Source organism: Homo sapiens, chromosome 2 (genome assembly GCF_000001405.40).
Source record: "Homo sapiens chromosome 2, GRCh38.p14 Primary Assembly".
Classification (NCBI taxonomy): domain Eukaryota; kingdom Metazoa; phylum Chordata; class Mammalia; order Primates; family Hominidae; genus Homo; species Homo sapiens.
In genome coordinates, this window is record NC_000002.12 from 1,675,062 (window position 1) to 1,699,281 (window position 24,220).

Consider the following 24,220-nt stretch of genomic DNA (forward strand, 5'->3'; position numbering starts at 1 on the left):
ACCAATCCCCCAACTTGCAATCTGTCCTTACCCACAGGGATTGCTGGATGGAAGCAATGTCAGCTTAGGCCCCATAAACAAGACTCTCTCTGATGTGGCCCAATCCCCCCCACCAGAAACACGGCGAGCCAGCAGGTGAGGGTGGCCTGCAGGTGACTCTGGATGTTAGGTAAGGCCAGCCGGCAGGTGAGACTCGAGCTGGTGGAGGGCAGAGCCCAGCACAGGTCACCAGGCCTCAGGGCTTTGGCTCTAGCTCTGCCATATTTAGCTGTGAGATTTCAACTGCGGGCATCAATTTTTTCGTATATAAAATGTAGGTGTGATGGACTGGGGCCAAATTTATGCTTCCCTGACTTTTAAATGCACACAACATAATACTGCAGAATTCCTCCAGTGTTCTCTGGATTTTAAATCTCATCAACTTGGGAGCCATCCAAGACAAAAGCTGTGAAGAGAGTGACTGCACCTTACAGGCTCCTTGTCCGGCACTGCAGCCAAGGTCAATATGACTTTTCAGTCATGAGGATAACAAAATCTAGAGCTGGAACAAACCTCCCATGTCCTCTTCAGCATGAACACATCTTCCCATTCTGTTCCTGACCACTGGGGATGGCCAGCTCCCTGCTCCTGTCCATCTCTTCTATAAACACCACCTTGCCCGAGAGCCAAGCCCAGCCCGGTTTGCCTCTGGAGTCTGGAACAATGACTCAGTTTGTGCCTCATCACAGTTTGAGCCCGAGTATCAAACAATGACTCAGTTTGAGCCCGAGTATCACAGGGCTCACATCTCAGACGCATCCCTCTTGCTGCCTCATGACTAAACATGGCCAGAGAGGAGCAGCGCAGGAGTGCTGGGGCTGGGCCGGCAGGAGGAGCTCCTTCAGAAGCTGTCCTCACGCAGGCAGATGGGAGAAGGTAGGACATGGTGGCTTTACTTCAGGATTTTCTTTTAAGGATTCCTTTCAAAAGGTCACTTTGAAAGTGCTCCACTCCAACTTAGGACCCTCAGTGATTTGGCCCCAGGTGCCTTCCGGCAATCTGACCTCATTCCCACCTAGGCCTCTCTGCCCCTGCACCCAGGTCCTGCCCCACCCACCCCCCTTGCACGCCTTTCACCTCCTCCCATCTCTTCCCCCTAGACTCCATCACTCCTTAACCAACACAGCCCCAGCTCACAAACCCCAGCAGCGCAGGGGTGCTCCCCACACCTGGCTCACAGGTGGGGCTCGCTGCCAGGACGCATGTAATGGTCAGCGGTAGGACTTCCCTCCGTCACCCTGACAGCCGCAGCCAGGGCCGTCTTAGCCTTAACAGGTCCACAGCATGTTTGTGGACACAAGAGAAGACTTCCTTTGTTTGGGAGACAAGTTAGATCCACACGGGAGCTGAGCGAACCTGTGTCAGCAGCTGCATGGCGCTCCAGGCTCCTGAGGACGCCGTCCCAGCAGAGGTCAGGGCCCCTCCCGCACCCACTCAGGTTGGTCACAATGCCCCAGGTCAAGGCTGCCAACAACAGTGACCAGAGCAAACAGGCTGCTGCCAGACGTCAGCAGGCAGGGAGAGAACAACCAGCATGCTCTCCCTCCCTCCCACCGGGAAGGGCCGCAGTGACGCGTTGCCCAGCCAGGGCACCCCTGTGCTGCCCAGGAGAGAGTGGGGAAGGGGCCCCAGCCTGGCAGAAACGTCGTCACACCCCCTGCCATGTAAGACCGGAAAAGGAGCAGAAATAGTTTCTCCTTTGTACTTTTCCCTACGTGGAGGAGGAAAAGTGGACGTGGGCCTTGGTGGGGAGTGAGGTGTGGTTTGGGTGTCTGAGTGTAACTCCGAGAGATGCACAGGGGCATTTCTGTTTGGCCCCAACTCACTTGTTTCGCAGCCAGATGATCTCAGGCTTGGGGTTGCCTTCGGCTCTGCAGGTGAAGTACACGGTGTTCCCCGAGGTCACATCTGCGTCCTGGGGCTCGGAGGTGATCCGGGGCCTTTCTGTGCCCAACCAGAAAATGGAAACCTTTTTAGTCTAAACCATGACATGAAAATAAATGACAACACACGCTGAGTTCTCTGTGTCCAAAAGGAAACCACAGATGCCCAAAGGTGTAATTCAGCCACAAACATCCCCCACAAAAGTGCCAGACTGGCTTCTCTACAGCCCCGTCTATGGTGCGGATCTACATGATGTCTATGCCTCAGGGTGCCATGTTCTGAGCACCCTAGAGACAGGCTGGCTCAGAGTTGGGCAGACAGCCCCAAATGACAGCCTTCGGCGTCCCCTCGAGGCCCTCTGGGAAAGCCAAACACCTGTGCGGAGTGGATACGCCACGGGTCGCTATTTTCACTGAAGAAAAGACAAAAAATAGTACTCTGTAGCTAAAGCGTCCCTGAAAGAATAAGCCTCTAAAAGCACAGGCAGGTGGCAGACACCACAGCTGGAGCAACTCCCAGCCTCCCTCCTCCACAGCTGCCCCGCCCTTCACCCTCCACCCTGGGCAAGGGGAGAATGGCCTCTCCTGCCTCCTGCGTGCCCGTGACTCCACATGGCTTCCGAGGGCCATCCGAGGGCCACCCGAGGGCTGACGGCTCCCAGGCCTTCCTCGAGGGCTGACGGCTCCCAGGCTCCCGTCCCTGGTGGCTGCTCCGGAGCTCCAGGCCCGCACAGGGAGCGGCCTTCTCTAAGGCTCCCCTCAGCAGCCATGAGGGAACCACACCAAGGGCAGGCCTAGGCTTCCATCTCTGCCTCGTCACCTCAGTGTGCGAATCTGTCTCCATGTACATTCTGTGAGCATCACGAGAAGAAAAACACAACCACACACAGGTGTGTACAAGTGAGTGCCTGCAGTGGGGCGGACACAAGCACGGGTACGAGTGTGTGTGTGTGTGCAGCGGAGATGGCTCTGCTCAGTGCTGCCATTCTGCCCGGCAACCAAAACCAAGGCCCTCGACCCAACTTGGGGCTGTCAGCAAGGGCTCCTCCAGGATTGCCTCCTTCCGTCTCCCCAGCATTGCACAGCCCGGGTCAGGAGGCTGGGGCGGCTCTGCCCAGCCCTCCCTGTGCTCCCGTCACTCTGGGAACCGTGCCTCCTCTTCTCTCTCCTCTGCAGCACTAGAGCCCTTGGCTTCACAGAGGTTCTCACCACTCAGGCCTTACCCGGCCTCCCTGCCTCCCTCACACACTCCCCGATTCCCTCTCCCGAGGGCTGCCAGAAAGCTCCTTCTAGAATATAAACATCATCCCAACGTTCCGTAAACCCTCCCATGGCTCCCCATCACCACAAAATCAAAATAAGCTTTCGCTGCTTTCTTCATTATTTAGGCTGCACAACCCTGCAGACACCCTAAAACCCACCTAACTGTACACCTGAACGGGGTGAATTGTCTGGCACGGGAACAATGCCTCGATAAAGCTATTATAAAAAACAAGAATAATCACTGACAGCCAAATTGGAGTAAGGAGTAAAAGTATGACAAAGTCTCCAAGGGCACAACCTCAGCACTGTGATTACGGAAGGCCATGAGTCGGTTTCTTGGAAAACCATCTGGAATGAACACCCATAGGAGCATCAGCGAAAACGACAGGGCCTCGGCTGATTCACAGGTTCTCGCACAGCTCAGCAGAGCTGCCAAGCTGGGCAACACAGGTCCCTGGGCCCCCCTGAGCACCGAGGGCCCTCCCTTCAGGGACGCAGGTGGGGCAGCTCCTTCCACTGAGGGCCGTTTCTGGGAGCTGTTGACAGCCAGTGCCCTGCGGAGCTGAGGGCGGAGTCTGGGTCCGGGGTGGGGAAGCAGCGCAGGCAGGCGGCTGCACAGGGGTCTGGGCCTCTCTTGCTCCCCAGGCTAGAAACCTGAGTGGTGCAGTACCCCCAGCCACCAGGCCGGCGCTCAGTTCTAACTGCCCCTGACATAGCTCCAGCAAGAACTGAGCTAGAAGAAACTTAAAAAAAAAAACTGTGTATTTTTGTCGTATTACAAAACCATCACACAGGGAGATCCTTTCACCTTACCAAAATAAACAGCCGTGTATGTGCATGCATGTGTGTGTGTGTGTGTGTGTGTGTGTGTGTCTATAAATGGTGTGTTTGTGGATGGTGTGTGCATGTGTGTGTGGTGAGTGTGTGGTGTGTGCGTGTATGTGCGTGTGTGTGGTTTGTGTCTGCATGTGTGTGTCTATAAATGGTGTGTGTAGATGGCATGTGCGTGTGTGGTGTGTGTGTGGATTGTATGTGCATGTGTGTGTGGATGGTTTATGTCTGTGTGTCTATAAATGGTTTGTGTGTAAATGGTGTGTGTGTGTATGTGCGTGTGTGTGGTTTGTGTCTGCATGTGTGTCTATAAATGGTGGGTGGAGATGGTATGTGCGTGTGTGGTGTGTGTGTGTATGTGCGTGTGTGTGTGGATGGTTTATGTCTGTGTGTCTATAAATGGTTTGTGTGTAAATGGTGTGTGTGTGTATGTGCGTGTGTGTGGTTTGTGTCTGCATGTGTGTGTGTCTATAAATGGTGTGTGTGTAAATGGTGTGTGTGGATGGTGTGTGCGTGTATGTGCGTGTGTGTGTGTGTGGTTTGTGTCTGCACGTGTGTGTGTCTATAAATGGTGTGTGTGTAAATGGTGTGTGTGGATGGCACATGTGTGTGGTCTGTGTCTGCATGTGTGTCTATAAATGCTGTGTGTGTGTGGATGGTGTGTGCGTGTATGTGCGTGTGTGTGGTTTGTATCTGCATGTGTGTGTCTATAAATGGTGTGTGTAAATGGTGTGTGTGTAAATGGTGTGTGTGTGGATGGTGTGTGTGTGTATGTGCGTGTGTGTGGTTTGTGTCTGCATGTGTGTGTCTATAAATGGTGTGTGTGTAAATGGTGTGTGTGTGGATGGTGTGTGTGTGTATGTGCGTGTGTGTGGTTTGTGTCTACGTGTGTGTCTGTAAATGGTGTGTGTGTAAATGGTATGTGTGTGTGTGGATGGTGTATGCGTGTATGTGCGTGTGTGTGGTTTGTGTCTGCGCGTGTGTCTATAAATGGTGTGTGTGTAAATGTGTGTGTGTGGTGTGTGGATGTTGTGTGTGTAGATGGTGTGTGTGTGGATGGTGTGTGTGTAGATGGTGTGAGTGTGTGGATGGTGTGTGCGTGTCGGGCCACTCACCACAGTTCAGCTCTTCCGGGGTGATGGTTGCCACTGAGCGTCCCTGGATGCGTCTGGGATATTCACAGATGGCCGCTGCCTGCGCGTTCCCCGACTCCGCGTAGGTTTTCAGCAAATCCGCCAACCACAGGATTTCACAGTCGCAGTGAAGTGTGTTTGAGTCCAGTCGCCTGTGGGAAGGAAGATGCAGCCGGTGAGACATGGGGTGGCTGGGCTTGTCCATCCATCCATCAGACAGGGCTTCCAGGTCCCGCGTCGGGAAACATGTGCCAGGCCTGCCAGGCTTGCGACATGGGGATGGGACACGTCTCGTGGTGGAATCTGAGCCCCGGTGCCCGACTCAGGGAGTGATGTCGAGACACACACATCACCAGGAAGAGCCCAGGGGTGCACAGTGCCCCTCAAGGCACTAACCGTAGAGGCGTGAGTAGCATAGGGCTTGTGCACACCCAGGCATCGGGTGTCGAGCTCAAGGCGAGGGAGTGTGCCAGCGGCACAGGTCAGGGAAGTTTGTGAAGGAGACCAGGTGGGAGCCACTCACAGAAATCAGTAACATGAAAACCACAGCCACAAAACCACCACTGTCACTCAACGCCCATCATCACGGGCAGGACAGTTCTACATCATCTCCCTCCGGCCTGAGGCTTCCCAGGCAGTGTGGGAAGGGGGGCTGCATCTCCTGGCTGGGGTTCACACCTAAGTTTCCTGAGGTCCAAGCTGACCTGGAAAGTTTCTAGTGAGTGGCACATCCTGTCCCAACAAGGGGAACACGGGCAGGATGTGCCTGCACCCTGGGAAAAGTGTTGTCTCCGCACACGGGGAAGAAGTTGTCTGGGGGACAGAGGAGTTCCAGGTAGCAAACACAGGCTACAGGGCAAGGGTTGGAAGAGGCTGGCAGCTGGATGTGAGACAGCCAGGTGGGAAGGGGTCCCCAGGCCCCTCCAGCCGGCCTGTGCACTGGGAGGGGTGCACACTGGGGTGGAGCCCACAGAGGTTTGTGCCATTTGCGGCGGGGAGAAGCCTGGCCCTCCTCTTCCTGGGTGGAATTCAATCTGTGAGGCAGGAAGCCCATGGCAGGAAACACACTATCTTGCTTTGCTGAGGGTCTCTATTTCCCTTTTTTTTTTCCTTTTTGCCCAATAAATCCCATTTTTCTCACTCTTCAAATAGTCTGCGAGCCTAAATTTTTGTGGCCATGTAACAAGGACCCCATCTTTCGCTGAACTAGGGAAAAGTCCTGCAACAGACGTGCTCACTATTAACCCTCAATGAGGTGGCCCCAGGGCACCCCCGAGATGGGGATGGGATCCCGAGAGGTGCTCACCAGGGCGGCAGCGTGAGGGCATCTCTAGGGGCCGACGCTGGCTCCAGGAGGGGAAGGGGAGGCTACACCTCCCATCCGAGGTTCTCCCAGACATGAGCCCAGAGGCGACAGGAACACAGAACTGGCCTCACGACCAGAATCACCCTTTCCCCCGTGAGCAGGTGCACAGCTCTCAGGTGAGGAGGCTGTGAGGGGGACAGTGTCAGCCACGTGCCCAGGGCACCCAACCTGTGCCCACAGCTGAAGGTCAGTACAGGACCACAGGCACATGCAAGACCCAGATGGTCATAGTCAGGTATGTGGCATCTGGCCAGTCGGTCCTGGTGGAGCGAGCTGCTCAGGGCACCCAAGGAAGCATAGGACCCCCAACCTTCATCTGCTCTGAAGCAGAGAGGGCTATTCAGGAGGTCTAGAGAGGTGGGGCAGCTGGCGTGGCCTCCTCCGCCTGGGGCCCCTCAGGGATGTGAGGTTAGAGACTGCTCCGAGCAGACAGCAGCCAGGACACAGCGTGTTCTCTTGATGCAGCTCTGTAAATCTATCACAGAATCTCAATCTGGGGTTGTAGTGTTTGAGCAACTTTAGTAAAGTGAGCAAACAGGAGAGGGGGACCTTGCCAGACACCCAGAGAGAGGCTGAGAACAGAGAGAAGGCAGCTGTCAGCATAATCCAGGCTGTTACCAGTCTGCCCTAAACTTGTCTTGGCTACTTTCTAGAGCATTTATCTGGTGATTTCTTTCTCCTCTCTGTTATCTATCAAATATGGAAGTATTCATCCCATCTTCCTACCCAGGATGTAGTTTTTAGTTTGGCTTGTGGTATTTTTATCCTAAAGGAAAAAAAAAATCACATATAGTTCTGAAGGTCTATGTTTTACTCCACTTTATTTCACTGAAGAGATAAAACAAATCACATAAGACCACTCTGGAGTTAGGCTTGTCTCTTGGCATTTTCTGTTTCTTTCTAGGTCTAGTTTACTGAATACACTCAGTAATATCTAACCGAAACTAACGGTTTCAAGACCATGAAGGAAAACACAAAATGAATGTCACAACTTTCTCCACCAGTCCTAAAATGCCTTAATTATAAGAAATAGCTCAGTATAAGCAAAAAGTATATTTGGAAGCCTTAAAAAATGGGTGGAGGCCGGGTGCGGTGGCTCACGCCTGTAATCCCAGCAGTTTGGGAGCCCAAGAAGGGCGGATCACCTGAGGTCAGGAGTTCAAGACCAGCCTGGCCAACATGGTGAAACCCTGTCTCTACCAAAAATACCAAAATTAGCCAGGCGTGGTCGCACGCGCCTGTAATCCCAGCTACTAGGGAGGCTGAGGCACGAGAATTGCTTGAACCTGGGAGGCAGAGGTTGCAGTGAGCTGAAATCGAGCCATTGCACTCTAGACTGGCAACAAGAACAAAACTCTGTCTCAAAAAAAAGGGTAAAGATCAGCCTCCTTAGTATGCTGTAGAAAGACACAGAATATAGCACAGAGGTTCTTTCCACACTGGTTTTATTTCTACCAGTAAAATATGCGCTGGAATTAAAAATTAATTTGATGAATTTAAAGACGATTTAAATCGTCTTTAATGGCTGGGCATGGTGGCTTATGCCTGTAATCCCAGCACTTTGGGAGGCTGAGGTGGACAGATCGCTTGAGCTTAGGAAATCAAGACCAACCTGGGCAACATGGCAAAACCCTGTCACAAAAAAAGAAAAAAAGAAAGAAAAACCAAAAAAAAAAACCCACAAAATTACAAAACTTAGCTGGGCATGGTGGCATGTGCCTATAGTCCCAGCTACTCAGCTCTTTGGGAGAATTGCTTGAGCCCGGGAGGTTGAGGCTGCAGTGAGCTGTGATCATGCCACTGCACTCCAGCCTGGGCAACAGAGCAAGACCCTATCTGAAAAAAAATTTTTTTAAGTCTTAATTGCCTATCAAAGGATTAACTACTTGCCACATTGTCTGAGCCACATGTTTTTCATTTTGCTCTCTAATGGATTCAATCCACCCTCCATATATTCTCATTCTTTCAGAATCAGATTGTTATCAACATTTCACAATACTTGAAAAAGAACCAGGTGAATAGATAACAGAGAGAAAGAAGGCTTTGCAGCAAAGAAAACACAAAAGGTTTTATACTCACAATCTCTTCATAGATTCCAAGTGATTAAATGTCCCTGGAACTAAATGTGTAATCCGGTTGTTATGCAAAAATCTGTTGAAAGAGATTTTATAACAAACCAATTTTGAAAAATATTTCTTAAAATGTGTAGAAAAGAATATAAGCAGTCAAATATATATCAGCTTTAAAAAAATCTCAGTGATTACATTTATTTAATACAAATGAATCTGAAAACAAAAGAAATGGTTTTTTTTTCCTGTTTTATCAACACTCTCAATTAAAGAGAAAATTATAAGTCCTATTTCCAAATTGTTAGACTAGAAATATGGATTTTATATTGAAACAGTTTTCAGGTGTTTGGTAGATATTGACCTTAATCTAACCAAGCCAGTGACTGAGGCTTGGGCTCTGTGAATGGAAAGGCAAGGAACAACACACAACTCACAGCCTCTCGAGCTTCGGGAGATGCTGGAACGAATCTGGGTCCAAAGTTTCTATCTGATTAAAGTGCAGGTATCTAGAGGAGTTAAAAGAAAAAAAAGTATAACTTACAATTTATTTTCTTAGATCCAGATTTTTGCCCAAATTTTTTTCCTAGTCATTTCAAATTCAGATATCAATAGATAGCTCACTCACTAGACTTCCTACATTGTATGAACAATACATAAAATTATCAAATGATTCAATAAATACAACTGAACACTAGGCACAGATGTCCACCCTAGTGACTGGATAAGGGCGAGGGAGGCCTAGAGGTGCTCACTGAGGTCCTTGACACCGCGTGAGAAGGGCAGTGCTGGCCTGGCCTGACTCGGCCATTTTCACTTCCAAAATATATGGAAAAAAGCAAAAATCAAAAGGATAACTTTAATGATAGCACATACATAAATAGGTGAATACCTTCCCTCAAATCTTTTAACTCGTGTATAAATTTGGCAGGGGCATCATCATATACTTTGACACAGAGTATATTATCAGATACAAAGATATCCTTCAAGACCACAAAGGAAACACAAAAAGAATGTCACACAACTTTCTCCATCAGTCCTGAAGCATTAAATAAGAGACCATCTTTCCTCGGGTGTCGTTGATTGTACAGAATACCCAGTGTTTCTATTTCTTTCCATTTACCATACTTCAACAATTTATACCTTTTGATATAACTCATTCTTTCTAATTTTTCCTGAATACGAAATTTCTCATTTTGAAAAGTGGGTTTTTTCCTCTTAAGTCAAACACAAAGTCAGTCTTCTCCCTGGGGTGCTCTGCTGGGAGACCCCTCCTGCCCACTCAGGTGTCCCCTGCAACCAGCACACATTTTCAGTGACTACTTCTTCAGGAGGCCAAAATGAGCAAAGAAGCAGCATGCCAGCGTTCACAGGTCTTCATAACTCCACAGAAAGGAGGACTCCTCAGAACGCACGCCTGAGAATCAGGTCTGTGGACATCCTGAGATCACCGTCACCACCAGGGCACCAGAGTGCGGCTGCCAGGGCCCGCCCCGTCCCGGGGCCAGCTCCCCAGGCAGCACCCACACAGGCCACACTGAGTCTCTGCGGACACCTGCAGCCGGAGGGCCCCCAAACGCAGACCATCCCTGCCCCTTGCCCCGGGACAGGTCTGTGCTCAGCACTCCGCGCACGAATGGGAAACGTGAGGGAAGGAAAAACTGGAGCAGGAAGACAAGGAAAACCGCCGTGGGCGAGCATGACGGGCGGGCACCTGACGCGCGGGTCCCGAGGAAGGCCGAACCCGACAGAATCCCTGGAGCCTCGTCTCTGCCAGGCAGTGTGCTGACAGGGCGCCTGTGGTTTTCTGGGGTCCTTGGCCTTTCACAGCCCATGGCAGCTGGGGACCGATGTAAGACCCAGGCACCACCACGGCACAGTGGCTGTGAGCTGCTCAGCGAGGCTTCAGTGCAGGCAGGCAGGGGTGGAGTCCCCCAAGCAAAGCCCAGAAGGATGAGGAGGTACTGACCGAGGGAAGGAAAGGGGGTATTTCAAGCCCCACGGAGAGCGATGGGTGTAAAAATCCCTCCACCCAGACTGCAATGCAGGTTGGCCAGGGGGACGGCTGAGTGGGTGGGACTTGGCACCTGCTGCACAGGTGCTACGGGAAATGACGGCCCAGGGTGCACAGGATCTTAGAGAGGCTGGGGCCCCAGGCAGCCTGGGGTGTCCTCCACCCCTCCCTGAACAATTGAGGAAACAGGACCAAAGACAGGAAATGGCTCCCCAAGTATACTGAGGTCATCATTGAATTCAAACGCATGTTTCCTGACTGGCCAGGTGTGTTTTCTGACCTGTGTCCACAGCTTCCCAAAGAGCCTTCTTTCTGGATCAGGGACACTCAGATCCCCCTGGACTGCATCCGGGCTCCCGGGCATTCCTGCATTCCGGTCTCCCAGTGTCACCAGGAATGCATGTTTTCAATAGCTCTGGGCTGTAGAGCCGATCCGGGGAAGGGGTGCAGTTCGCCAGGGTCAGGCACAAGCCACCCTCCCTGGACATACAGCCCTTTGCCCAAGTCTCTCACTGAGGTCTGGTGGACTCGCTTATCCCCTCCCCAACAGCTCCCTGCCCGAGGGCGGGGCTCGGGCTGCCCTCAGGCTCACTGTACAGCGTTTAACGAATGGAACCCAAGCTGCAGCACCAGAGACCCCAGCTCACCTAACCCTGGGTGCTAAAGGCAGCCTGGCCAGCTCAAGAAGCCCTCCCCATCATCCAAAATTTCAGCAAACATCTACTTGGTGATTCACAGATGCCCTTCCTCATTCAGCCTCGTTTCTCCCCTGACTTGCCCTTTCCTTCCTTAAAAATAACACTGGACTCACCCAGCACAAAGCCAGATGAGGATTTTCCGATCCACTCAGGATGGAAGAACTGTTTGCTATGAAGATTTGCTCGCCCCCACTGAGTGAAACGCTTGTTGGATATGAGAACTTGCTCCTTTGCAAGCTCTCCCTACATCTGGGTGTTCCCTGGATACGTCCATGTGTTTCTGCAATGAGCTGCACTGTCCTTCTCTGTAGAGACAGACCTCCTCCCAAATCTACCCACGCCCTGTCCACGCTCACTTGAATCAACACACACTTTCGGAAACATGAGCACCGTGGGTCCTCAGGATGCACAATCCCAGAGTGGTCTCCCCCCTGCACCGCTTGGCCTCAAACTCTCTGACAACATCGCTGTGTCCAGTGAGCCAGTGACCCGTGACCACGGATCAGCAGCTGTGGCAGGAGGACGTCACGCTGCGTCACAGCAAACAGCTGCTTTCATCCACATTCCTAAAACCGTGACAAATTGCAGCTCCTCAGGAATGGGCTCAGTTTGCCGAGTGAAAGGTGACTGGCCGAGCAAACAAACCAGGACAAATCCTCCTTTTTACCAGGACATTGTAATGAAAAATCAACACGCTGACTTCACAGCAAAGTACGACTTCACGTTGGCCAAAGAAACTAAGAGCGTTTCATGACACACTGCATACACTAACTAGAACTACAAGGGAAAGAAAGGTTTTCTCCAAAATAATGTCACCACAATTGAAGAAATTCAGCTTCATGTGTTCACAGTCATAAGGAGGAACAGTGAACGAGGCAAAGAGCCCTCTCCTCCCCGGGCACCCTGGATATTTCCCCTGTGAAGGATGCCTTGATCGGACTTGGGCGCCTGCCTGTCTCTCCTCTAAGTTGTGACAGGGATTCCATCGATATTACTGTCCTTGGTGTCAGGAAAGCATGGCCCAGGGCCTGGTGCCGCCGTAAGGAAACCAGGGATACGTCCTGAGGGGTGGGTGGAGGGCTGGCTGGGTGGAAGGCGGGGCGGAGGGCAAATGACTCGCCCATCCCTGTTTTTCCGTCATCATGCACGTACTCCCCGCACCTCAGGTAGCATAGTCATGCATCATGCAAACAGCTAGCTCACTCCACTGGTCCCTACAAGAGGAAAACAGCCAGACGGCATCCAAGAACTAAAGCACGAAGAGAAGGGGCACTTACAGTTGCTCTAGAGAGGCAAGTCCCTTAAATGCTTGCCTGTCAATTGACTGGATCTCATTCTTGTACAGATAGCTGAAACAAGAAACATTGGGGAGCATTAGCACACAGACAGGAGGTCAAACTTCAGACGGAAAAGAAGAATTAAATTGACACATGGAGACAGTTTTACAATTAATGACTGTATTAGAATGCAAACAAACCATCTGCACGGTGAGTACAGTGCCTCTCCCAAGGGCTTCCCTTCCCTCAGATCTCAAGGGGGCTAAAAGCAACCGGTGCCAACTGAAGGTGATCAAACCACTGCGACGGGTTTTTCAGGCAACTCACAGACCTTAGACTATGGCTAATGAATTGCTGACAATACATTTGCTTCAAAGCCTGAAGAAGATAAAAACCATTTTCCACAGGCATGTATAATGCATTGGCTGTAAGATTCTATAACTGATACTGATACATCTCCAAAATACCTAGAAATAATTTGGGGAGTGGACAATATGAAGACCGAATGCACCTTGAATAACTCACCCCTAGAATCCCATTCTTAGAAAACAGAAGCAACAGAGGCATACTGGAAGAGCCACACAATTGGCCTGGCTCTTGTCTTTGTGTAAAATGGTGGAAAATCTCAATAGGAGAATCCTATTTCCTAACATGTGAACTTGGAATGCCAGCGTCCATAAATGAAGCTCTGCTGGAACACGCCCACACTCGCTCACTCCGCACCATCTGGGGCTGCGCTGGCGCTGTGTGGCCGAGCTGAGTGGTCCCAGTAGAGACTGCGCAGCTCACAGAGGACTGGTCCTGCACAGAAAACACTTGCCAAGCCTGATGGAGGATGAAAATTTCCACACCAAAGTATCACAATTCCAAAAAGAGCCACAAAACCATGCGCATTGTGCCCACCCATCTCGGACATGACTCGCCTTCAGCCAGCTTGCCTCACAACACAGCTCTAGGCCAGCAGCTTGGGGGACCCCAAGAAGGCTGTGAATCTGTGTCTGTGCCCAGACATGGGGAGCCCTGCCACTACCGTTTCTTAGAATCCCTGGGCTCCATCTCTGACATAGGCAGATGGGCAAGTCAAAATCCACGCTTTTCCTACTTTTCAAATTCAGGCAGACACGTCTCTTCAAAATTGATTACTTATGCCTGGGTTTCACCTACTCGTTCCACTAAATAACCAACATTTTTTGTCTTAATGCTTATAATATTATATAATTCATATCCAGAAGGGCCGAGTGTTTGATTGTAACTTAATTAATAATGTCTGGTGCAGGATCCAGTTTAACAGGACCAGCCCTGCTAACCTTATTTCTTACAACCCATCTAAGTGGCTCTCACGTCCTCCCTCCCTGCGAATTTGCAGAGCTGACCTCATAAAGAGTTACAAGCCTTAACACGAACCACCCAGAACTCCCCAGCGACCGAGAGCCCAGTGCCCGCAGCAGAGGCCTGGCAAGGCTGTTACTTCTCTAGGCCGCATACGTGGGAATCCTTGAACTTCCACGTAATGACTGGGCCTCAGTTTCCTCTTCTCTAAAATGGACAGAAGTTGTTGAAATTAATGTGTGTGTATATATATAAAGCTCTTACAATATGGCCCCTGCACACATTAACCATTGTTCACATGGGAGTTGTTACTATACTTCTACAGAAGGCAAGTTTAAATGTAATTTTCTGTGCCCATTTATTTAAAAAGAAAAACAAAAACAAAGTATCAATGAGAACATCGCTTTAGACCCATTTTAAAAAATGAAAGGGAATCTTTTTAAAGAATACACAGGACAACTGAATCAAACTAACATGTGTGAATGTGTGTTTATAAAGACATTGGAACGTAATTTGTTTTCATGAGAATAGGTGAGTATTGGCTGGCCGTGGTGGCTCATGCCTGTAATCTCAGCACTTTGGGAGGCCAAGGTGGGTGGATCACTTGAGGTCAGGAGTTTGAGATCAGCCTGACCAAAATGGTGAAACTCCGTCTCTATTAAAAATACAAAAAATTAGCCAGGCATCGTGGTGCACGCCTGTAATCCCAGCTATTCAGGAGGCTAAGGCAGGAGAATCCTTTGAACCTGGGAGGTGGATGTTGCAGTAAGCCGAGATCACACCACCGCACTCTAGCCTGGGCAACAAGAGGGAAACTCCACCTCAAAAAAAAAAAAAAAGGGTGAGTATTGACCATAATAATAAATTGTGATTTTCTACTTCATCATAGAGTTGACCCTTGAATGAGTCCTAACTGTCTCAAGAAATAATTTCATTAAGCAATGTGAACTAAAGGGAAGGCTTATGCCTTACTAGAAGTAATTGGAGTTCCAAGAAATAAGAACTACTCAACCTCTACAAGTATAGTTTGGTACTGACTCAATATAGAAGGCTGAAATAATGAATAAATTTCAGGAGAGCTCTTAAGCATATAGGTTGTACACAGGTGAAATCACAGCATTTAACTCTCACACAGTTTCCTAAATCAGCACTTATCAAATGTACTCCACCAATGAGAGCTGAGAAGCGGAGGCTGCAGCTGCTGGGTGAAAGGGTCCCCGGGCCTCTCTGGACAGCTTCCCTCCACTGCCCTGGTCTTTAGTCCGTTTCTGAGTCATGACCCACGGCCCCTTCACCACTGGCCTGTGCTTCTTCCACCCCAGTGATCTGTGTCCTCCACCACCAGGGACACCGCAGTTTGTTACCGAGGGAGAGAGGGAAGAGTTTGGAGTGTGGGCGCTCAGAGCCGGCTGTGCAGCAGATGAGGTCGGAAGAGGGTTATTGAAAAGAGATCAGTGAAAACAGAGCATCCCCAACAACTCCACTTTGAACGTGTTTGCTGAGTGCATACTAAGTTGCTCTTAATAATTCAAAACCAGTGACAAAAAATGAAATAAAATATTAAAAAACCTGTTAAACCTATTAAACACACATATACACACACAAGGAATGCTGGCTATCAGCTGACTGGATCTACTTTCCAGGAAACAAAAGCCCTCTTCTGGAACTTGCACAACATTCAAAATACCAAAAAAAAAAAAAAAAAAAAAAAGGGTAAATAAACAAATAAAAGGCCTGCCTCTCATTTTAGAAATAGAAATGTGGGACCAGGCTTCATCATGTTTATATGAAATTAAAAATTAACATCCTATGCCACAATGATGGAGGGAAAAAGGATGTATGTAACACTGACAAATATCGCACAGAGGGAATATATTTTAATAAACAGAGTTAAAGGTAGCTCTGTAATTAACAGTCACAGACACAGCTAGAATCAAAACAGATTTCAGAGTATACATCAACAATAACAAGACGACTTTGTTTTAAAAATCAAAATAACTACAGCATTAGCACAAATACCTAATGCATGTGGAGTGTAAAACCTAGATGACGGGTTGATGGGTGCAGCAAAGCACCATGGCACGTGTACCCCTATGTAACAAACCTGCACGTTCTGCACAGGTATCCCAGAACTTAAAGTAAAATAAAAAAAAATCAAAATAACTTAAACATGTTTAGGTTCACATATGATAAAAATTTCCAACAAAAATGGCTGAAATAATTTTTATTAAAAATAGCTCTCTTTGGAAAGTGACTAAGTCTTAAAAGAATACTCTTCTAAAAGCACACGACACACACTTCGTCACCTTTCCAATTTTATAGCAAGTATGTGTGTGACTGAGACTAAACCAGTACTTCCCAGGAAGCTCATTTTCTAAACTGCAAAACTGATCTCAACGAGCAGAAGATATGTTAAATGAAAATAAATCGATTAAAATCAGTTTTTAAAAGTGAAATAAAATTTAACTGCACAAAAGTAAGAGGTGAAATCACTTAGCGGGAGACAGGAAAATCTGCAGGAATTAGTGACACTCCACCGGGGTTAGTTATTTCGAGTTTACATGTCACCTGCAGCTGGCAAGGCGACCGGAAACTATTTTGATAGCTGATTTCTGCAACACACCCGTCAGCTGTTCATATCGGCAACTCACTGGGTCATCACTTTCCCCTCTGGAAGCATCACCATCATTTCCAGAGCGATTTTCAGAGGCTGTGCATTTTCATTTTATGCAATCCACTTTACTAAGGCTTAGTGATGAAACACTAAAAATCACATAATGTAGCACTTTATATCACTGACAAGCTATTTTAATAATCCCAGCTAAATGTTTACTCACCTTCTCAAAATAAAACCTCATTTAAATGAATATATTTACAATAATTCATAAGCAGCACGAAATTTAGCTCTATTTTTAAGTAATCTAGATACCATAAGCTTTTAGGTTAAAGAACTGATCATTAACTTACAGATATTTTAAATTTTCCAAGTCTTCAAATGCTCCACTAGGTATCCTCTTGATCTGATTATTATTGAGAAGCCTATGAAAGAGAGTCGATAAGAATTTTAAAAAACAACAGAAAACAAACTTCGAAGTTGTGTTAAAACATTCCGACAGCCTTGGAAAAGGTCACATTGACAATTCAGTTACAGCCTCGCCATCAACATTCAACGAACGCTGAACCCGCAGGACAAAACACAGCTTTCGCGTTTAACCATCATGAAGAAAACGTTGCTGAGCAATGGTGTCCGTACCACTCCACAGTTACTACCTTTTGATACAGCGGAGAAAAAATTCCTTCTCTCCTATAGAAGGGAGTTTGTATCTTTATCCTGCTGTCTCTTAGATTTTCTATTTTAGCCAGGACTGTGGCCAGTGCTAAGGCAGTCATGGTGGGAGGGTGGTCCGGGTGGACAGACGTGCCAGGAAAGGTGGGCCCTGTGGCCCGTGCTCCATTCGAGCGCACAGACAAGGGCCTGGGGTGAGAGACCCCGGGCCACTTGCCCTCCAGGGTCAACAGTGGATAGGCGGCCCAGACAGTCCCACAGTCCCCATGACCCTGCTCTTACACCGTTGTGCTCAGTCCTGGTGCAGAAGGGAACCAGCTTCCACTGCACTGGGCGTGTCCTGCAGAGCCTGAGGTCTGCACAGCAACGCTGGACTTGGCCCTGCCTGCTCCCTCCAGGCATCATGGGACTGCCTTGAACCCTCACTTAAGTCCACTCCACACTCAGAAGAAGCACTGTCCTGCTCAATCTTGCCACGGAGGAGGTGCAGGAACACACAGAGGTCAGCCTGACCCAGCAAGGACTGAGTGATTCTAGAGCAAGTGACCCACATGAAGGCCAGGGACAAGCTTAGCGGTCAGCATGGGTCCCAATCAACATGCCACAGACAGGCACACAGCCATGAGACGAGAAACACAGTGGCCACAGTCCTGGCATTCACAGTCCTGGCATTCAGGGGCATTTTCCAGCCTCACTTTCCTGCTCCACTTTTCCCCACCCAAGCCCACTGATTGTGGATGATGAGTTCTACCTACAGATAAACAATGTAATGATTTCTATTTTTCTATTAGTTTCCAATAGAATATTTCCACTCACAATGTGTTCAAGTTCCTCAGCCGCCTGAATGCCCCAGGTTGGATCTCTCTGATTCTGTTAAAGCGAAGATCTCTGTGAAGAAACAAGAAAGGTATTATTACGTGAAAAAAAATCTACAAACATCGCTACACATTTGCTGCTCTTAGTTTCAAAATGGTGACAATGCATTTAAAATATTAAACCACCCAGTTCACTCCTTCAATGAATCTTCTTTTTCACTGAGGCTAGTAAGTGTATGAATATGTGTCTGAATGGTGGAACACCAGTAACCCATTACAGAATTTCTAAAAACAGTAATTATGGGGAGAAAAATTACATAAACTACCTAAGCACCCTATCTCTGGCAACCCACTGGAAAATGTCGTGTCGATAAGTCTTAGGATAATAAACACAGGTTAGGTTTGATGACATTCAAGAAGAGAGTCACGCCACCTGTGCAACTGAGTAAACACCTTAGAGTTTACTCCAGTGATTTCCTGAGCTGGAATTAGGCTCTTCCTTAGTCAACGACCTAAACTGCTACCTTCATGAGATTTAAACTGAATGTTTCAAAACCACAAAAGTGAATTCAGCACGCTAACTGGGAAAATAGGCTTTCTCACATATGGGTTTTACCCTAATGGTTCCAAACAGGCATTTTCAGTAAAGTTAAACGTCCACTGTTAAGGCAGTTATTTATTCATATTTCGGGGGTGGAGAGAGGATCCGAATAGCCCATGAGAGACCAGAGAGTACGCCAGAATCGACACAGAGACTGAATCTGGTGCTGGAAAGAGAAACACTTCAATTCCTGCTAATCTGATGCTCAGGCAGAGCAAGCTGGGAGGCCCCAACCACGGAGGCCACGGGCCTGGGGGCAGCACAGGCAGCCAGGTCAGAGGCCTGAAGGCAGCGATGGGAAGTGCAGACATGCAGAGGCGTCGGCTCTACCCTTGCAGACAGCCCATCCCAGCTTGAATTAAAACTATAAATTGAACAGGTATAGAAACCACTGAAAAATAAACAGAAAGACCAATTTCTTTATCAAATACTCTTAGAAAAATTAAATTCCTTAATCATAGGTCCAATCTCTTTTAATATCGTCCAGTAGGGATCGGTACGGGTTGAACTGTGTCTCCCCGAAATCCACATGTTGAAATGCTCAGCCCCAGTGCCTCAGGTGTTTGGTCATTAGGGTATCATAGGTAAGGTCAGGACATTAGGGTATGATAACATAAAATGTTTATAACCTTCTAAGGAATCTGATTATCCTATGCCAATGTAATCACTGTCAGTAGTTTGTAGAATTGGTTCTAGTTCATGGTTCAATAAGATACTTCAAAAAAAGTATCTGTGTCACTGACAGCAACAGCATCCAGCCTAGATGTCAGTGAATGAAATGTGTCCCTCCCAGCGCCGCCCCTGTGCTGTGGGTCAAGTTCTCCTGGAGGAGAAGGGGAAGGCGGCCCCCCTCTGCCCACCTGGCCCTCCTGGCCATCATTCCACGCCGTGCCCTCGCACCCGGGTTCGCTTTCCTCAGTGATACCCACTGTCCACCAACAGTCTCCTCACACGCACCCTCCCCCTGCACCGCCATGCTCCCCTCTAAACAGATGAGATTTTAATTTACATTCATATTCAGAATATCACTAGTGGCTCCACGGACTCTCCACGTAGGAGCTGCTGAAAGTCAGAAGCATCGAAACTGGGAGGCGGTGCTGGAGGAAGACACGGGAGGGGAAAGCAGCCATCCAGGATGCCCACTCACTCCATACGGAAGACACAGATCAAGTACAGATAAGGAGAGAATTCTGACCAGCTGCAATTTCAGGATAAACAAACAATTGCAAAGAAGCTCCCGTACCTGAGACACAGCAAGCTGAGGGGCTTCCCAGCATTTGAACAGGTAAGAAAGGCTGTCCCGGAAGGCCGAGCCACGCATCACAGCTTAGAGCAAAAATCAACTCTGACCACATCTGATCCAGAAACCAAGCTGCTCCTCCAGAGCAGAGGATGGAGTGAGCCCCACTTATTCTGGCTCCTCATTCCCCGTGGGAACCCACACGCAAGCCACAGAGGAGGCAGCGGCAACAGCGTGGAAGCTGGAAAGCAAGATGTGGACTTGGCTCCTGGAGCCTGGGAAGACAGCAGGAAGAGCCACAAAACCACCTTCCTGACATGCAGGCCTTTCCCCAGATCTGAAGTCGGTGCCACCAAAACCTCTAGAGTGAAGGACAGAGAGGTGCTGTCCCATCCACAGGCCCCTGTGCCCTGCTGGACAGAGAGGTGCTGTCCCATCCACAAGTCCCTGTGCCCTGGGTCTGAGCACCTGAGAGGTGGCCTAGAGTGATGGACAGAGAGGTGCTGTCCCATCCACAGGCCCCTGTGCCCTGCTGGACAGAGAGGTGCTGTCCCATCCACAGGCCCCTGTGCCCTGCTGGACAGAGAGGTGCTGTCCCATTCACAGGCCCCTGTGCCCTGCTGGACAGAGAGGTGCTGTCCCATTCACAGGCCCCTGTGCCCTGCTGGACAGAGAGGTGCTGTCCCATCCACAGGCCCCTGTGCCCTGCTGGACAGAGAGGTGCTGTCCCATCCACAAGCCCCTATGCCCTGGGTCTGAGCACCTGAGAGGTGGCCTAGAGTGATGGACAGAGAGGTGCTGTCCCATCCACAGGCCCCTGTGCCCTGCTGGACAGAGAGGTGCTGTCCCATCCACAGGCCCCTGTGCCCTGCTGGACAGAGAGGTGCTGTCCCATCCACAGGCCCCTGTGCCCTGCTGGACAGAGAGGTGCTGTCCCATTCACAGGCCCCTGTGCCCTGCTGGACAGAGAGGTGCTGTCCCATCCACAGGCCCCTGTGCCCTGCTGGACAGAGAGGTGCTGTCCCATCCACAAGCCCCTATGCCCTGGGTCTGAGCACCTGAGAGGTGGCCTAGAGTGATGGACAGAGAGGTGCTGTCCCATCCACAGGCCCCTGTGCCCTGTGTCTGAACACCTGAGAGGTAGCCAGTGTTGAGTAAAAGTGCAAAACTCACACTGGACCTCAAGGACTTCCTACAAACAAATAGAACATAAATATATCTTCGATAAAATTTTATATTGAGTGCATGCTGAAACATGTACAAGTTTGGCATGCAGAGTTCAATAAAACATTTTTAAAATTAACTGTTTATTTCTAGTTTTTTCACAAAGTGACCAGAAAATGTTAAATGACATAAGTAGTTCTCATCACATTTCTGTGGATGGCACTGGTCTAGGTTAAGGGGATCATTTCACAAGCTGCTCACAGCAGTTAGACCTCCCACCATGCTCTAAGGCAGAGCACCAAAAAAGACTTCTACTATGAAGAGGGTAAAACAAACGGTCCCCTTTACTGCAAAGGGGGTTATCTTAGAAGACAAAGTGAAACCATAAAAAAAGAACCAAACTGAAATTCTAGAACTGAAAAATATAATAGCTGAAATGAAAAGCTCATTGCATGGACTTAACATATTGAATACTGCAGAGGGGAGAGGACTTGGGAGCTACTCAACATTAGAAATGATCTAATCTGAGGAACAGAGATGAAGAAACACTCATACACCAATAGTTATACCACACATATTCATCTGCATGTGTGTGTGTTTACATTTTCTGTCTGATACCACAGCACATGAAAGGAGCTAGAAAGATTGTCACCAAACCGGACCGTGTGTTTGGGATGGGCTGACTTACAACACAGCTACATCTGCACACGTGTTACTGGAGGGGACTTGCAGCTGCCTCAGAAACCCTCCTGCTCCAGAGCAACAGAAAGGGCAGAGGGTCCAGGTTCTTGTGGCTCCATCCCTGAGAGACAAGCTCAGGGCAAGAAGACACCACAGACACAAGAAGCCAACGTTCGTTTCAAATATGAACCCCAACTTCAAGGTCACGAAGACAAATACAAGGGCTGATTTTTGCCTGAATCATTTCTCACTTGCGAGATTCTAGAGAGCTCAGGAGGGGTCTGTTCCACAGCACCAGTGCTTGGGAGCCTGTTAGAAAAGCAAATTCTGGGCCCCACCCCAAATCTCCAGAATCAGAAACTCTGGGAGTGGTTCCCAGTAACGTGGGTTCAAATAAGATTTCCAGGTGATTCTAAGCAAGGTAAAGTTTGGAAGTCATTGTTCTTCGGGAATGCTGAAGATATAACGCAAATACACACTATGTATATTTTTAAGTGTGCGTGTGAGGAGATATAGGAAAAGCATTTGCACACACAGGCGAACTCATAAACACTAGTAGCAGGCATTTGCTTGTTTCCTCTGCATTTCCACGTCTGATCCTTAGCTTACTGGTCATCATTGACATAAAGCTTACAATAAATGTAAAGCTAAACTCTCCAATTAAAAAGTACTTAAATTTAAGTGCCACATGTAAGTGCTCCCCACTTTACAATTTTTAAAATAAGCTTTGCACATGTCTGGGCAGAATAAGACTGTGGGGAGGCATTTGATCCCTGCATTATGCACCTACATATGACTCAACAGCTTGACAAACAGAATTATTATTTTAACAATCATAATAAATAGTTCCACAAATAATCCTAACGGGGGGGGAAAAACTTCCCCCAAATTTTAAAGATTGAAAGAGCACTTCAACAAGCCTTCCTTGGCTCTTCCCTGGGGCTCCGTGCTCCCACCCCGTCCTCCTGCAGTGACGTCTCCCCAGGGGGCTGAGGGTACTGGAGAGGGACCCTGGCAGATGTGGCGGCGTGGTCCTAGCTGTGTGCCACATGCCAATGAGTGGACCACTGGGTCACCTGCCCTCCGCAGCTGCAGGACCCTTCTCCCAACAAGCAAGGGGCTCTGGCACGCCCTCTATGAAGTAAGTTGGCATGATGAGCATGGAGACAGATTGTAGAAAGTTCTGGGAAACCTATAAGTGGCGTGATTACTAAAGCAAGTGGAACACAGATGAACACTGAGGGCTAACATCAGGCAGGGCATCCATGAACTCTTGCTGAAGCCAAGGCCAAAGCCCCAGGAGACTGCGATAAAAACGCCACACCCCTGCCTGGGTAAGCGTGAGGGGTGCATCCCTTCTAAAGCCTGGGGCCCTAAACCATAAAGCACCAATGACAGTAAGCAGCGGTGAACAAGGTCACAGAAGGACGACAAGTTTGTGTGTGAAAAGTCCTTCATAAACAGCAAAACTCTGTAAATATCCATTGTGAACATCCCCTGCAATTCCAGTGGGTCTTATCAGCTCATTCACTGAGCACACAAAGCATGGATCTGAGGCAACCTCTGAGCTAGGCAGCAGCACCTGCACTTGGAGAAGATCGGTGCATACAGGGAACCCTCGAGAGCTCCCAGAAATGATAACTGTAGGGCAAGGTCACCCCCTACTTCAGAGTAACAAAGGCACGTCCTGGGGAAATGGTCGAGCACACTAAGGCACAGCACATGAAGGTGGCTGACTGAGGGAAGGGAGGAGAGAATGAGATCCAGGTTAGAAGAAATCCCTTTCCTGGACAAATCGGAATTTAGAAACTAAGAAAGATCAGGTAATTTGTCTAAAGTCAGTCAGTCTGTAAGTGGCAGAACTAGAAATGCAATTAGAGTCGGCCCAGGGCTCTTTTCTCAGCATTAAAATTGCTCTCATTGAAGGCATTTCAAGAGGTTAATCCTCCCTGGTAGAATTCACCAGACTCTTCCACTTACATTCAAGAGTTCTCCCAAGTGTTAGAGCAGAGCCGCTGCCTCTGACCTACTTAGGGAACGTCGACGCCAACACAAGCCCTCTCAAGTTCAAAGAGAAGACTGCAATAACTATTAAGCATGAACTATGAATTTTTCAATTTACAGTCTCAAAAACAGAACACAGATTCATTTACATTTTACATTTAAAAAGCAAGTGAACTTCAAGTCAAGGAGTTTTAGGGTAGTTTTTGTGTTTCCTTTTGTTTTGCTGTAATGTTTCCATTATTCTCAAATCTTAATGTACTAAAAATCCTACCAGAAAAAAAAAATGTCAAGAATTGTAGTGTTTGGAACGAAACATCAAAGTACAGGTTTACACTCAATATCAAAATCACAAGTCACTGCAGAACCACAGAATAGTTGAAGGTTAGAACTAAAAGGAAGCTTGGAGATCCAAGTTTTAATCTAATTCCCTCCAGGGACTTTTGCCATTAGATTCCCTTTCACAGTAAACTAAAATGCACAGACCACTTGGTAATGCTTAATTTAATCATGCCAAAGTTATGAATTCTAAA

The 24,220-nt window shown here is 48.6% G+C and overlaps 1 protein-coding gene across 5 annotated transcripts in view, besides 5 other annotated features; it reads right to left on the reverse strand.

The window, feature by feature from the left end:
- Positions 1 to 24,220, reverse strand: part of PXDN (peroxidasin) — a 113,015-nt gene that overhangs the window by 43,175 nt on the left and 45,620 nt on the right. For 3 of the 5 annotated variants that reach the window (XM_011510396.2, NM_012293.3, XM_047445788.1), the window contains exons 2-8: positions 18,002 to 18,073; positions 16,867 to 16,938; positions 12,571 to 12,642; positions 9,019 to 9,090; positions 8,595 to 8,666; positions 5,132 to 5,301; positions 1,866 to 1,983 (exon numbers count right to left, since the gene is read on the reverse strand). In XM_011510396.2, coding sequence (XP_011508698.1) covers positions 1,866 to 1,983; positions 5,132 to 5,301; positions 8,595 to 8,605 — 299 coding nt within the window. In that variant the 5' untranslated portion in view covers positions 8,606 to 8,666; positions 9,019 to 9,090; positions 12,571 to 12,642; positions 16,867 to 16,938; positions 18,002 to 18,073. The remainder of the gene's footprint in view (positions 1 to 1,865; positions 1,984 to 5,131; positions 5,302 to 8,594; positions 8,667 to 9,018; positions 9,091 to 12,570; positions 12,643 to 16,866; positions 16,939 to 18,001; positions 18,074 to 24,220) is intronic. The other 2 variants (XM_047445789.1, XM_005264707.4) reach the window with 1 other exon arrangement.
- Positions 2,402 to 3,327: an enhancer, noted in NCBI's record as "H3K4me1 hESC enhancer chr2:1681235-1682160 (GRCh37/hg19 assembly coordinates)". NCBI's record gives its function as "activates a minimal SCP1, AML or CMV promoter by ChIP-STARR-seq in primed H9 embryonic stem cells {active_cell/tissue: H9 hESC(primed)}" and the evidence as "EXISTENCE:reporter gene assay evidence [ECO:0000049][PMID:30033119]".
- Positions 11,291 to 11,804: an enhancer, noted in NCBI's record as "H3K27ac-H3K4me1 hESC enhancer chr2:1690124-1690637 (GRCh37/hg19 assembly coordinates)". NCBI's record gives its function as "activates a minimal SCP1, AML or CMV promoter by ChIP-STARR-seq in naive H9 embryonic stem cells {active_cell/tissue: H9 hESC(naive)}" and the evidence as "EXISTENCE:reporter gene assay evidence [ECO:0000049][PMID:30033119]".
- Positions 11,805 to 12,319: an enhancer, noted in NCBI's record as "H3K27ac-H3K4me1 hESC enhancer chr2:1690638-1691152 (GRCh37/hg19 assembly coordinates)". NCBI's record gives its function as "activates a minimal SCP1, AML or CMV promoter by ChIP-STARR-seq in naive H9 embryonic stem cells {active_cell/tissue: H9 hESC(naive)}" and the evidence as "EXISTENCE:reporter gene assay evidence [ECO:0000049][PMID:30033119]".
- Positions 17,434 to 17,933: an enhancer, noted in NCBI's record as "H3K4me1 hESC enhancer chr2:1696267-1696766 (GRCh37/hg19 assembly coordinates)". NCBI's record gives its function as "activates a minimal SCP1, AML or CMV promoter by ChIP-STARR-seq in naive H9 embryonic stem cells {active_cell/tissue: H9 hESC(naive)}" and the evidence as "EXISTENCE:reporter gene assay evidence [ECO:0000049][PMID:30033119]".
- Positions 19,854 to 20,594: an enhancer, noted in NCBI's record as "H3K27ac-H3K4me1 hESC enhancer chr2:1698687-1699427 (GRCh37/hg19 assembly coordinates)". NCBI's record gives its function as "activates a minimal SCP1, AML or CMV promoter by ChIP-STARR-seq in naive H9 embryonic stem cells {active_cell/tissue: H9 hESC(naive)}" and the evidence as "EXISTENCE:reporter gene assay evidence [ECO:0000049][PMID:30033119]".